This window comes from Homo sapiens, chromosome 15, assembly GCF_000001405.40.
Source record: "Homo sapiens chromosome 15, GRCh38.p14 Primary Assembly".
NCBI classification, from domain to species: domain Eukaryota; kingdom Metazoa; phylum Chordata; class Mammalia; order Primates; family Hominidae; genus Homo; species Homo sapiens.
This window is the reverse complement of record NC_000015.10, coordinates 40,250,064-40,263,945: the sequence shown is the minus strand read 5'-3', so window position 1 is coordinate 40,263,945 and position 13,882 is coordinate 40,250,064. Positions and strand designations below refer to the sequence as shown.

Sequence of the window (13,882 nt, the reverse complement as noted above, 5' to 3'; positions counted from 1 at the left end):
TATTGGAGCTCTATGTAAAACATCACCTGGGCCGGGCATGGTGGTTCATGCCTGTAATCCTAGTACTCTGGGAGGCCGAGGCGGGTGGATCACCTGAGGTCAGGAGTTTGAGACCAGCTTGGCCAACATGGTGAAAACCTGTCTTGACTAAAAATACAAAGAAATTAGCCGGGCCTGGTGGCACGTGCCTGTAGTCCCGGATACCCATGGGGTTGAGGGAGGAGAATCGCTTGAACCCAGGAGGCTGAGGCTGCAGTGAGCTGAGATTGCCCCACTGCACTCCAGCCTGGGCAACAGAATGAGACTCTGTCTCAAAAAACAAACAATAAAACACTTAACCTGCAATCAAGCCTGTGTCCCGTGCCTTGCTGATTCTGGCTTTGCCTAAGGTCGTGCTGAGCTGCATACACAGAAGTGACACAGGCTTGCAATGGATAGCATGGGTAGATCTGAGAGTGGGGAACTGGGGGCCTGGGAAGGGGAGGGACACTTCCAAAGGGTTGCTCTAGTTTCGCCTTCAGGGGATCCCGGACCTGGGATCACATGTTGATGGCAGACAGGGCCAGGGCTGCCTCTTGAATGCTTTTGGATCTGAAGAGGCTCAGAACAGCTCACTGGGTTCTTATGTATCTGAAAAGGTCACTTCCAGGCTTCAAGAAACTGAAACATGATTCTTGAACTGAAAGCTTGGATTACTCATCCGCCCGAAGATCTGGAGTGCAGGGCCGTCATGTTCTCTTTTGGCTCTTGCTATGGAAACAGCATTTTCCTAGTCATTTTGGCAGGTTCTGAAGGAGGTCGCAGATCTGGGAGGCAGCTGGCAGAAAGGCAGGGACCCTGGACAGCCAGTGGTTCCCCACTAGGAATTCACCATGCGTGACTCAATCAGAGCCCACGTCACATCTCAATGTCAGCCATGCTTCTGGGTCTTGAGGTTCGGGATCCACCGAACACCCCCTAGAGGTAGAGCCACATGTACAGGACCCTTACAGACCAAGCCCTTTGGAATAAAACAACCTGTGTGAGTTGCAGATGAGTTGTAGGGAGTCTCCCACTAATAATTTGGAGAGATTTTGAACAAATAACTGAAATGATCTGAGCCAGGGGGGTTAATGAAAGACAGCTCATAGGGTTTAGGGTGTGTGAAGTAAGCAGAGTCCCCATACATGACGGTTGTTTCTCTTGTGATGTCACCTCTCTTTGAATCCCTGTCTTGAAGCTCAGGCCCTCCAGACACTGGCACTTGGGCAGATACAAGTCTGGGAGTAACACCAAACCACTTTCTGCTCAGACTTACCAGTCAAAGGGGTCATGCCTGATGTCAGGGGTCTGGGACCTGGGGACCTCGCCATATATACATCATGGTTTGGTAAAATTTGTCCTCCTCCTTTTGGCCTTTGCCTTTTTTGTTGTTGTTTGTTGTTGTTGTTGTTGTTTTTGAGAAGGAGTCTTGCCGCCCTGTCGCCCAGACTGGAGTGTAGTGGCACCATCTGGGCTCACTGCAACCTCCACCTCCCGGGTTCAAGTGATTCTCTTGCCTCAGCCTCCTGAATAGCTGAGATTACAGGCACCCACCAACATACCCGGCTAATTTTTGTATTTTTAGTAGAGACGGGATTTCACCATGTTGGCCAGGCTGGTCTCGAACTTCTGACTTCAAATGATCCACCTGCCTTGGTCTCCCAAAGTGCTGGGATTACAGCCTTTGCCTTTTGCTACAGAAGAGTCTTTATTCAGCAGGTCTATTCCCCCAGTCCCTTGGATAGACCTGCTATCCCTGGATTAGTTGAGCTGCCTGTTTCGCCCTCCTCCCTAGCTCTGTGAAATCTTCTGGAGGTGCAGGGACACAGACTGCAGCTGAAGAAGAGCTGGTGAATCCGCCCCCCACCACCCACCCCAGAACAGCCCTCTCCCCAACTCCCCTGCCCCACCCAAGCGCTCAGCTTTTGCTGTGGGGATGCACAGGGAGAGCATCTTTAGCAAATGGTCTCTGACTCTGGGAGCCTCTCTTGAGTCCATTCTAATAGTGAGCCATTCCGGAACAAGTTCTTCCCAGAGGCAGCAGGGAGGCTGGAGAAGAAAGAAGGACAGCCCAGAGGGTGTCCCAGGGCCAGGAGTGGTGATGGTGAGGGTGGGAGTTGGCAGAAGCAATCAGCTGAGCTCAGGCTTTGGGGGCTAGGGAGTAGAGCTTTAGAAACCAGAGGCCATCACTTAGGTCTGGAAAATCAACCAATCAACCACCTAAAGGGAGGCAGCTAGGACTCATCTGAAATGTGGTGAGGCCAACACTGTGTGGGACAACATAACTGTGTAAGTAGAAAATGCGGGAGAATCTACATAAAACTGGGATTAAGGGAGTGAATTTAGAAGGTCCCTGATTCAAGGTCAATATATATATATATATTTTTTGAGATGGAGTCTCGCTGTCTTGCCCGGGCTGGAGTGCAGTGGTGTGATCTCAGCTCACTGCAATCTCTGCCTCCCGGGTTCAAGTGATTCTCCTGCCTTAGCCTACTGAGTAGCTGGGACTACAGGCGCACGCCATCACGCCCAGCTAATTTTTGTATTTTTAGTAGAGATGGGGTTTCACCATGTTGGCCAGGATGGTCTCGATCTCTTGACTTCATGATCCACCCGCCTCAGCCTCCCAAAGTGCTGGGATTACAGGCATGAGCCACCGTGCCCAGGCTCAAGGTCAATATTTTAAAAAATCAACTGGATTTCTACATACCAGTAACAACATGAAATTTTTAAAAAGGGCCAGGCGCGGTGGCTCACGCCTGTAATCCCAGCACTTTGGGAGGCCGAGGTGGGCGAATCACGAGGTCAGGAGATAGAGATCATCCTGGCTAACACGGTGAAACCCCGTCTCTACTAAAACTACAAAACATTAGCCGGGTGTGGTGGTGGGCACCTGTAGTCCCAGCTACTCAGGAGGCTGAGGCAGGAGAATGGCGTGAACCTGGGAGGCGGAGCTTGCAGTGAGCTGAGATCAGGCCACTGCATTCCAGCCTGGGCGACAGAGCGAGACTCTGTCTCAAAAAAAAAAATGAAATTTTTAAAAAGATATCATTTTACATTAAAAATACAAAATATCTAGAATAAATCTAACAAAAAAATACAAAGTCCTTATATTGGAAAATACAAAACATTATTAAAGATATTAAAGAATGTTCATAGATGAGAAGGTTCAATACTGTAAAGATGTCAATTATTCCCAAGTTAACCTGCAGATTAATTTAAATCTCAAACAAAATCCCAGCATATTTCCTTTGGTAGAAATTGATGAACTGATTCTAAAATGTATACAGAAATATAAAGAACCAGGAATAGCCAAGACAATCTTAATGAACGAAGTTGGAGGATTGTACTAAATAGATATTAAGATTTATTAGAAAGCTACAATAATTAATTTAGTATGGAATTGGCAAATAGGCAATAGGCAAATAGGCAAAAATTGGCAAATTTAGTACGGAATTGACAAATAGACCAATGGAACAGAAGAGAGAATCCAAAAATAGACCCACTCTTATGAGGTCATTTGATTAATGACAAAGGTGACCCTGCAACATGCTGGGGGAATGGATGATGTTTTTAATAAATGTAGCTGAAGTAATTTGATATCTGCATGGAAAAAAAATAAACCCGGAAGAATGAGCTCATATCATACTCCAAAATTATGCAGACAGATCACAAACCTCAATGTGAAAGGTAAAATAATAAAGCTGGTGGGAGTGACGGCGGGTACCCGTAGCCTGACTCTCACCTCCCTCAGGTCTAGTGTGATCATTATGAGGGGCCCGATTTGGTGGTCTCTCCTGGATCCCACGACCTGCTGGGGCCTAAACCTGTCCACAGTCATGGGTCCCAGACACAAATTAAACTATCAAGGTTTACTTTGGCGAAAGTGGAATTCTTGATGATATAGATTAGGGGTAGGGGGTTTTTAAAGATTTTGCCAATGGTAATTTGTCAATGCAGTGTGAATACAATGGCTATTTGAAGGAAATACATCAACATATTAGTTGTCCCATTTACCTGGTGGGGCTACAGGTGATCTCCTTCTATTCTATCTTTCTACTCTTTTTCTAAGTTTTCCTTAAAGACGACGGATTGCTTCTCTAAAAAAAAACAATTTTTTTTTTTTTTTTTTTTTTTTGAGACAGCGTTTCACTCTGTTGCCCAGGCTGGAGTACAGTGGTGCGATCTTGGCTCACTGCAACCTCTGCCTTCCAGGTTCAAGTGATTCTCCTGCCTCAGCCTCCCAAGTAGCTGAGACTATAGGTGTGCACCACCACGTCCGGCTAATTTTTGTATTTTTAGTAGAGATAGGGTTTCACCATGTTGGCTGGGCTGATCTTGAACTCCTGACCTCAGGTGATCCACCCGCCTTCAGCCTCCCAAAGTGCTGGGATTACAGGCGTGAGCCACCGCGTCCGGCCAAAAACAAAATATTTTTAAATACAGAGAAGAGTGATCCATGGAGGCTGAGTGCCTAAGAGACGTTCATCCACCTGAACGGGACCAGTGTTGCCCCAGTCATCGCGAGTGAATCACCCAGGACAAAACATGCCCTGCCTCTCCCCAGCATCAGGCTGTGTCCTCAGAGCACTCCCACCCGGTCAGCCAGGGCCTCCGCTTGCCATTTCCAGGGCTCCTTTTCCCATCCATGTCTCCAAGGCCACTGGGCTGAGGGAGGTGGCTGCTGCACCAGCCATGGGGCCCCAAGGTTAAGTCAAACAGGCCATGCCAGCTGTTACTGTCGCCCCTCTAGCATCTCCATCTGCACGCAATTCATCTAGGGGAGGAGCTTTCCTCCAAGAAGACACCAGGAGGAGGAAGGAAGGGGACTCCCCCTCAGAGAGCCAGACCCTGCCGTTTCTCCTGCCCAGCTTGAAAGAAGTGATGTGAGCCTAAGACCCTGAAGTGGAAACAAGCAGAACGGGGTGGCCAGCTCGGGCACAGCCCCAGCCCCTCCTGGCTGACACTTCGCCTTAACACAGGGGAGGGAGGCCACACTGAAGATTCCACCTCAGGCTGGAAAGGCACTGCCGTGTGTGAGGACTGCTTTGAACTTTTCTCTTCTGGATGTCTGCAGGCATCTTCCTGCTGGCTAACGCATGACTGCATCGGGGGATGCCCAAGGCCTGGGAGGGAAGGGTCCAGCCCAAACCAGTTCAAGAAGGAAGCTCCCCTGCTGTGGGGCTTCCTCCAGCCGGAGCCTGGCCAGTGGGGACCGACGGTTCCTGGCACACACTTTCTGGAGGAAATGCTGCTACCCCCAGTAAACCTGAGGGCGGAGCTGGTGGACAGTTCAAGGAGCTATGTACCTGGGGTCACTGAGGGGCGGGACAGTGGTGTTGGAGGAGCAGCAATCTCAGACACAGAAAGGGAAGAAACTTTTCTTGAGCACCTATTATGTGCTAAGCCCCTTCCGAGGGTTAGCTCATTTAACCCTCACAGCAACCCTGAGAGAAGGAATTGTTATCCACAAATCCAGATGAGGCTCAAAGAGGTTCAATAGCTTGCCTGAGGCCACAGAACCAGGAAATGACTGAGTTGAGGTTTGAACCCAGATCTGATTCCAGAGCCCCTGCTCCGTCCACCATGCTTACCCCGGACTGAGTCAGCTGTGGTTCTTCTCCCTCTCTGGAGGTCTTTATGAACAGAAACGGGCAAGATGTGCGTGAGGTATGTAGGACAGGGCTGGCCCCTCCAGGGAAGAAGCCTGCTGAATTCTTTCCTGGGCTGACCTGTGAGTCAGAGGCCAGGGGGCCTGGGGCTGTCCTAACTTGCAGGCTGACCCTTATCTTGCAAGGAACCAGGTGTTTTTCCACTCAGCAAGGGGTGAGTAAAATGTTTCCAAGAGGTCATGGTGGGGGCTGTGATGGTCAGGGCCTGGCATCTAGGAAAAGCTACAGAAACAGCAGGCGTGTGTTCTGTCCAGCACAGGATGCATCCACAGCCCCTCTGTAGGGGCTCAGCCTGAAGCCAGGCGACCCACAGGCTTGGCTTGAGGAGGGGGTGAGTAAGTTTTGTGGCGGATGCTACTGTTCCACAGAGACAAGGGGATTCCCAGAGCATGGCACTGAGGCTTGGCTGGTCTAGTGTCCACAGATGAGAAAAGCAGCTGCACTGTGGGTGGGCCACCCTCCTCAACGTCTCCTCCCTGGAGAGGAGACATCCATGGGCCAGGCCCTGGGATGCCAGGGCCACCAGAGCCATCAGGGCCCCACAGATGCAGGGTGGCACTACAGAGGATGCCTGCCGTTAAACCTCAAGCCAGAGCATGGGCATTCAAATGAGCATTGCTGTGCGAGACAGACCACTTGGGAATGTACCTGCCTGTTTCAAACATGCTCTGGCATTTCCAGAACTCCTCTTTGGGAACTGCCTTTGGAGACGTTATGAGCCCACCTCAGCTGTCCTCCTAACCCGTCACCCCGCTTTTCACCAGAAGTGGTGGTATCCCACGTGGTCACCCACCTGACCCTCCAGACCTGGCCTAGAGTGAGTTTGGGCTGTTTGCGCATACTGAGTCCCTTTCAAGGAAAGGACACAGCCCACCGAAGGGATTCACAAGAACGCGCTGAGGCTGGGAAGCTGGCTTCCAGAAAGTGAGTCTAAAGGGGTTTGCAGCCACCCGGAGGGGTCAGCGTTGGGCTGGCTGTGTAAGCGCTGGGATTGCTGGGAAGCTGTTAGAAATGAAGCTGGTGGAATTCCCTGCCATTTGCGGGCGACTGGGAAGAGAGGAGGCCGCTGCCTAGTGGGCCAGCTCCTGGGTTGCTCAAGGTGCCAGGGGGTGAGAGGGGGGCGGCAGGCCCAGGCTTTCTCACAGTGAGGCTCAGGGTCTGCTTACCAGGGCTCAAGTCCTGGGCCACAAGCCCGAGTGCTGGCTCAGCGTGGACCTTGGGCTTGGTGTTCCTAAGTCCCGGCTTGTGACCTTGGCCTACTCGCCTTACGTAGGCCTCGACATTTTTGTAGATGACAAGGGATGGATTAATTCACCTCTGCCAGCTTCTCCAGGCACAGTGAGGGGGAGCATCTGTTCCTGCTCACGGAGGAGCTTTGGATATTTCTCACGGTCGTCACTCAGGAAGAGCCTAGCATAAGACGGAAGTAGCAGGCTCTGGGCTGAGCATTTCACACATGTGATCTCCTCGCCACAAGCCTGTGAGGTAGCACTAGTACTGTCTCCATTATGCAGAGAAGGAGAGACTAAGTGACTCATTCAAGCCGAGAGGCAAAGAAGGGGCAGACACGAGTCTGACCCAGGACCTGATGTGAACTTGGCTGCAGTGGCCATCTGCTCCTACCACCACCCTCTGTTATTCTCAGGCCCATCCAAGACACTCTGGGGAAGGGCCTATCCTAGAATCACAGCCCCAAGACAGAGGTGAGCCCCGAGTGCTACAAAACTTAGGAAAGCACTCTACTACCATCACCAACCTGTCAGAGTGGCCTCCAGAGGACCCTGTCACCTCCAGGGCTGGGCCCTGACATGCTGAGACCTGCAGCAGGGTTTCTTGACCTCTTTGTAACCCCCTTTGGGAACTGTCATCCCACACACATTCTGACAGGTGACAGGCCTCACCTGACCCCTTGGCTGAGAATTACCGCGAACAGAAGACAGCCTTTCACTGGAATATTCTCATTGGCCAGAAGGATTTTTCTCAAACTTTACTTTCAGAAGTTTGTTTCAAAAAAAAAATTTTTTTTTAGAGACAGAGTCTCACTCAGTCGCCCAGGCTGAAATGCAGTGGCGCGATCAGAGCTTACTGCAGCCTCGAACGTCTGGCCTCAACCCACCCTCCCACCTCAGTCGCTTGAGTGGTCAGGACTAGAGGAGCATACCACCGTGCCCAGCTGGGAAATTATAGTATTCCTTTATTCAGAAAGTATCTATTATGGACCTACTCTACTCCAGGCTCTGGGGACCATGGTAAACGAGAGGAAATCCTCACTCCTGTGTGGTTTAGTTTGCTTCTTCCAAACAGGTGTTGCTCTAGGCCAACCTTCTGCAGCCAGAAGAGATGGTAGTGCAGGATCTGTGGCACTCCTGACGGGGTCTGACCTTCCCCTTGGCCCAAAGTTCAGTCCCTCTGGCATTCCCAACAGGAGGCTGCCCGCACTCTGCTAGAACTCATTCAGCGATGAAAAGCTCCCCCTGCAGCCCCTGCCTTCTGTCCCCTCTGTCCCCTCGCTGATCCTTGTGTGGAGCTGAACTCTGTCTCACCTCAGCCTCTACTGGGGTCCGAGTCTGCCATCTGCTCCTCTTCACGTGACTTGAGAGTCAGGAGAGGTGGCACCCCAGCACCCTATCCTGGCTCCCAAAATACACGGGGGAAGGAAATTTCATCTGCTTTTCTGCTCAGCTGTCACCTGCGGGGGAGGAGGGTCCTAGACGCAGGTTGTGGCCCTCATGTGGATGCCCACAAGATTCAAACAACCTGCTCAGGGTCAGTGTGCTGAAGTGCGGAGAGGCCCTGGGAGGATGAGCAGGACCCTGAGGCTCTGCTGTCCCACTTGAGGGACCCAGACAGATGCAGCATGGGCCAGGGCAGACAGCATGACATGCAACCTGCCAAAATGTTTGGGCTCTCTGCCTTTGTCACTATTCCCATACCACTGGCCCCAGTGAATCCCCAGGGGAGAGATAATGGGCTGCTGTTTAAAAGAATACAGTAATACAGCTCATTCAGTCACTTGTGTCAACAGGCGTGAGCCACCGCGCCCGGCCTACCCTAGATTCTCAACAGCCTCTGCACACAGAGGTCTGAGTCCTTAGCATAGGGTCCTCAATGCCTAGCTAGGACCCTATGCTAAGCATTGGAACCTCTGGCATTGGAACCCTATGCTAAGCAGAAGGAACCTCTGGCATCCCTAATCACAAGATTGCCTTTTTTTCTACAGCTCTTAACTTTCCAGACCTCTATTTCACCTCCTTAACACTCACAACTTTACACTCACAACACCATTGTGAGTTGGGCTGAACCTGCTTTCCTGGGCCCATTTTAAAGACAGCAGGGAGCTGGAGAGAGAAGGAGGAGGCAAGAAAAGAAAGGTATGCTTATAAAGTGCCCACCACATGGATAGACTGTGCTAGGTGCTTTTTATTAGTACATCTAATGGCTAATTGTAGCTACTGCGAGCTCTGTTTTACAGATGAAGAAACTGAGGCTCAGAGAGAAGTAATTGTCCAAGACAGTAAGTGTGGAGCTGGGATTCAAAGTCAGATCTCTCCGACTCCAAACTCCAGGCTCATCCACAATGCCCAGTGCCCAGAGAAGTCAAGTGACCTGCTCTGGATCACACAGCTATGCAGAACAGAGATGGGACTGGAAGCTCAAGCCAGAGGCTCCCTCTATCCCAGGCAACAGTTGAGGTTCCAGGGTCACCCATGAACACATGAACATGTGTGATGTGCAGGGGGCGCTGCTGTTTCTGATGCCCAAGCCAGATCCTCTTCCAGGAATGGCCCCTTCCCTGGGTCACCACGAGGTCCAGAGACCCTGAATTAGGGTCTCTCACTACTCGCCCTCCAAGGACCCCTACCTTTACTTTATTCCTATTGCTTTGCTCTAATACCCTCTGACAATAGCTTGCCAAACAGCCAGACTGCCCTCAAAGCTCTCCAGGATGGGAGAACTTGGAGTGGCTTAGCCCTTCCCAACATAGCAGCTGGAGGCTGATGAGGCAGTTACTCCCCACAACCGCCTAATGAGGAGGAAGGCATTCGCATTCCCATTTTACAGATGAGGCCATTTATAAGTTTGTAGAGAAGTGAAGCAACTTGTCTAAGGAGTCAAAGGCAAAGTCTGGATAGATTCAAACCCCACTCTCTTCGGTTCCAAATGTGTCTTCGGCCACTGTCCTATATACTATGGAGGAGAATTCATGGCACTGCAGGCTGAACCTCACCTTGCATGGAACCAGGCGTTTTCTTATCCAATGCGGCAACCTATGCCACACCGGCCACCAAAAACGAGCATGGACACAGACCTGAGCCCCTCTGCCCCCTTCACCCAGAAAAACAAGTCAGAAAAGCCCCCAAAAAACCACCAGAATGGGGCAAGATACAGAAAACGCAACCTACACCCTGGGAGCTCTTCATGGCTTAGCCTCCAGTGCTCCCAGCAGCACCTACACTCCAGATCGGATGCCACCTGAGCAGGTCTGGAGATCTGGGGAATGAGCGGTGGGCTGGGATGTGTGGAGCGGCAGCTTCACCTGTAACTCCTGCGGGAGTCTCCCACGGCTGCCTCCCACCCTGCCCTGCACAGCCACTGGGCCTGCCACCACCCTTCCTGTTTGGGAACCTCTTCCCCGGCATGAATTCCCTGCACTCTGCCGCGGTGACACCCTCACCCAGGACAGGCATCAGACCTGAAGATGGGCCCGGGGGCAGGGCGGGCCATTTGAGGTCTTGACGTCTACCAGCCTACCGTGGGGCCATGGGGCAAAGTGGTGTAAGTGACTTAACATGCACCCACTAAGGATCGAGAGACGGCACCTGGAAGGGACCACCTCCGCTGCCTAGCAGTACCAGGAAGGAGCCAGCCCAGGAGGGCCACCTGCCTGCCCACTGTCCCTCCCTGCCTGCTCTTCAAAATGGGTGCAGAAGGCTCTAGGGCCGGGGGCCGCTCGCTCACTCACCTTCCGGCGCCTTCCGCCTCTTCCTCGCGACTCCTCACCCGCACTGGGCCTCTCTCTTAGGCGCTGAGGAGAGGGAAGACCTGGGACCTTGCTGGGCCAGTCCTCCGCAGGCCTGCGCGGAAACAGATCAGAAATGCATTATGGCAAATGTAGCAAGTGTTCCCGCGGGTGTTGCGACTGGCTGACGTCCAGGCGCTGGGAACCGCTCCGCGCCCGCCTCCCGACTGAACTCCTGGCTCAGGTGCAAGAGGCGGCAGGCTCCTTGCGGGGCTTACGGGGAGAAGGGGACGTTGGGCGCAGCACCGCTTCCGGGGCGGCCCCTCTCCAGCCACACTCCGACCCGGCGCGGCCACCCGGCCCCAGCTCGCAGGCCCCACTGCTGCGCCCTCTCGGGGACGCGAATGCCCCGCGCCGGGCGGGCGCCCGCGGAGGGAGGTCCCGCTCCAGGGACGCGGAGCTCCAGATGCCTGCGCCCAAGGCCCCTCGCCTGGCGCCGGCTGGTCCCGAACTTCGGGGCATGGGCACCCAGGAAGGGGGCTGCGCGTGTTGGGAGGCCCGTCCTCTCGCCGCGAACCTCCGGGGCAGCCGGGGAACCCACCTGCGGAGCGGGAAGCCCAGGAACGCTCGAAGAGGTCGTGGGAGCCGGGCCCGCCCTCCGCGGGAGGGACCTCGGCGCGGGAACGCCGAGGAGGGGCCGCGCTTACACGTTGGTGCAGCGCCGGCTTCACCTGACCGCGATTTTGATTTCAGGGTGTGGCCTCAGGTAGGACGCGGCGGCGAACCCAGAGCGCGGGAGAAGTTGCCAAGTGTCGCTGGGGCCTTGGCCAGGAGCCCCTCTGCCCGAGGGGCGCCGTGCTGCTCAACTCTTTCTCTCCACCTGCTTGGCCCCAGTTCCCGCCCGCCCTTCGCCTCCGGGCCCTGGCCTGGCCACAGCCGCGGGGACCTGCCTGCGGCTCCACGGCCCAGTGGCCGCCTCGCGGAGACCCGACCTGGAGAATCAGCTGAGCGCCGGCTGTGTGTAATCACCTCGTTCACTGGCATCGCAGATGCACGCTCCAGAGCCGCGGGCCGACTCTCCCGGACCTGAGCGGGCCGCGTGTGCCCACCCACACATCCTGGAGAGCCCACGCGGGAGTCGGAAAACCTGTCACCTTGGATGATCTGTCCCATGTGGACAGGGCCCCAAGACTGTGCTGGGGTAGCCCCTTGCGCAGGCAGGAAAGCGGGATTTAAGGGATTCCAGTTCCCTTGTCAGCCCTTGCGCAGTCCTGAGTCCTGAGGACTTTCTAGCCTGAGAGTCCTAGGGCAGGAGACCCGCACCCCCAGAGCGGCTAGGGCCTGTTTCGGAGCCCCTCCGCCTGTGATTTTGTCCCAGAGTCGGCATCCTCTGCTTGTCCTCAGCAGTCCCTGCCTAAGATCAGAATGGCCATTCCAAGGGGCTCACTCCTGGCTGCCCCTGTGCCATGTTTCTTTTGGGGTACAGGGTGTTTTCTATACTGGGGGAAGGGACAGGAATCACTCATCTCTTCCCCAGATAAAGAAGTGAGAAGACCTTTGCTCTCCTTGTCTTGGGCCCCCAGAGAAAGGCTGTGTTCTGGCTGAGTGCTGAGGAAGTTCTGGCTTGGAAACTCAGTACATGTGGACTCCAAATGGCTGCCGTCAAGTGGTGGCTGGGTGACTGCCAGTGTCACAGAGCGGGGACCAAGGACAGTGCAGGGATTTTAAAAATCATTGTTGGGCACCTCAGACTTCAATGATTAACTGAGGTCACTATGGCCACTTATTTTTGTTCACTGATTCTTTAGACGCATCAATCTACTCACGGCTCAATCTTTTGCATTATAGGCTGTATTGGTTTCACACAATTTACTCTAAGGCGCCCACCTAATAGAGCTCAGGCAACCCGTGGGAACCTGACAGTCCCAAACAGGTCTGTACCCTGTGTGGCTGCACCACAAGCCCAATGCCCTCGGCTTTCCTAGGGAAAGCATGGTGCCAGGTGCAGATGCTGGCCCTCTGTGCTGTGGGACAGTGGTGTGGGAGCCAGCCAGCTAACCATACCCTGCTGCCATCCCCAACATCCCCAACACATATTTATATTTAGTTTCTGTTCTCCTCCCCTTACTCTGTCGCCTCCTCCTCCTCCTCTTTGTGTCTTTCCCACGCGGATTCTTTCTCTTTCCTCTGAGTGGACAATACTGTAGGCCTGACCCGCTTAGACAAACTCTGACCTCCTGTGGTCACCCAGGAAGCTGACTGCTAGGCCTTGGATGAGGGGGCAGTGGGAGGGGGACCAGGTGATACCAGAATGGCTCCCCCCACAGATTCGTTACCCAAGGACATGGGTACACTGGTCGAATGCTGGCTGCAGAAGCAGAATGTGCTGCGTGGAGGTGGCAGAGATTGGTTGCTGAGGATTTGAAATGAACCATGAACCAAAGCTAGAATGAAAGCATTATATTGTCTAACCTAGAATCGACACCCTAAATTATTTTTACTGATTCATGAATGCATATGTGAATTATTTTCTTTGACTACAAATGCCTTATATACCCAAATCACAGCTCCAAGCAGTACTTTTGAACAGAACTACAATAAAGTATGAATGTTAGATTATTACCAGAAATGAACTGGTATTCAATTTGGTTTGAATCCAGGCTTAGGTACCCTAGAATGGCGACTAGCCAAGTCCCATCCTCACCCTATAGAGAATAACTCTAGGAAACCCTGGGTTCCTCCCACCCCTTGGGAGCTACAGTGGGTTTGGGGCCTTGAGAGAGGCAGAAGGTCAAGTTAGACTGACCAAGGAGGTAATGAGTCCCCCATCACTGGAGGTATTCAAGAATAACCGTCAGTTGGGTAGGCCAGAGAACTGGATACAAGACTAGACTAGGGAATCCCTCAGGTCCATCACAACGCCAGTTTTCTGCACTTCCAGTCTCGTCTACATGAGGTTCAGCTGCACCGGGTTGCACGATCCGCCCCGTTGCCACCCCTCTCCCCACACATTGAGACAGCTGGGGATACACACTGAATCATCCATTCAGGGTAGGTCCTGAGTGATTAATTCCTGTGTGTGACTCTCCCCCTTCTCTATTCTCCTCTGATCCGTGCCCAGCTCAGCCCTGCCCAGGAGGAAAGGGCAGAACAACAGCACAGGAAGTGTCAGGAGCAGTCTGGGGACAGTGTCTCCTGCAGCATCCATGTGCCACCCTCTGGCCTTGTT

At 53.2% G+C, this 13,882-nt stretch overlaps 2 protein-coding genes and 1 long non-coding RNA gene across 8 annotated transcripts in view, besides 3 other annotated features; 1 reads left to right on the top strand and 2 right to left on the bottom strand.

The window, feature by feature from the left end:
* The window catches only part of BUB1B-PAK6 (BUB1B-PAK6 readthrough), a 60,060-nt gene that overhangs the window by 13,542 nt on the left and 32,636 nt on the right, over positions 1 to 13,882 (bottom strand). For both annotated transcript variants that reach the window (NM_001128628.3, NM_001128629.3), the window contains one exon: positions 10,657 to 10,768. The gene's annotated coding sequence lies outside the window, so the exon portion shown is untranslated. The remainder of the gene's footprint in view (positions 1 to 10,656; positions 10,769 to 13,882) is intronic.
* Positions 1 to 13,882, bottom strand: part of PAK6 (p21 (RAC1) activated kinase 6) — a 38,425-nt gene that overhangs the window by 13,542 nt on the left and 11,001 nt on the right. For all 5 annotated transcript variants that reach the window (NM_001395430.1, NM_001395431.1, NM_001276718.2 and 2 more), the window contains one exon: positions 10,657 to 10,768. The gene's annotated coding sequence lies outside the window, so the exon portion shown is untranslated. Of the gene's footprint in view, positions 1 to 10,656; positions 10,769 to 13,882 lie in introns of those variants that run through there.
* Positions 6,530 to 7,327: an enhancer, noted in NCBI's record as "H3K4me1 hESC enhancer chr15:40548820-40549617 (GRCh37/hg19 assembly coordinates)". NCBI's record gives its function as "activates a minimal SCP1, AML or CMV promoter by ChIP-STARR-seq in naive H9 embryonic stem cells {active_cell/tissue: H9 hESC(naive)}" and the evidence as "EXISTENCE:reporter gene assay evidence [ECO:0000049][PMID:30033119]".
* Positions 7,401 to 7,450: an enhancer, noted in NCBI's record as "active region_9238". NCBI's record gives its function as "activates an Ori minimal core promoter by ATAC-STARR-seq in GM12878 lymphoblastoid cells {active_cell/tissue: GM12878}" and the evidence as "EXISTENCE:reporter gene assay evidence [ECO:0000049][PMID:35858748]".
* Positions 10,916 to 11,005: a silencer, noted in NCBI's record as "silent region_6319". NCBI's record gives its function as "represses an Ori minimal core promoter by ATAC-STARR-seq in GM12878 lymphoblastoid cells {active_cell/tissue: GM12878}" and the evidence as "EXISTENCE:reporter gene assay evidence [ECO:0000049][PMID:35858748]".
* PAK6-AS1 (PAK6 antisense RNA 1) lies at positions 10,987 to 13,282 on the top strand. Its single transcript, NR_168270.1, has 2 exons — positions 10,987 to 11,288; positions 11,407 to 13,282. It is a non-coding gene; the product is annotated as a PAK6 antisense RNA 1 (long non-coding RNA).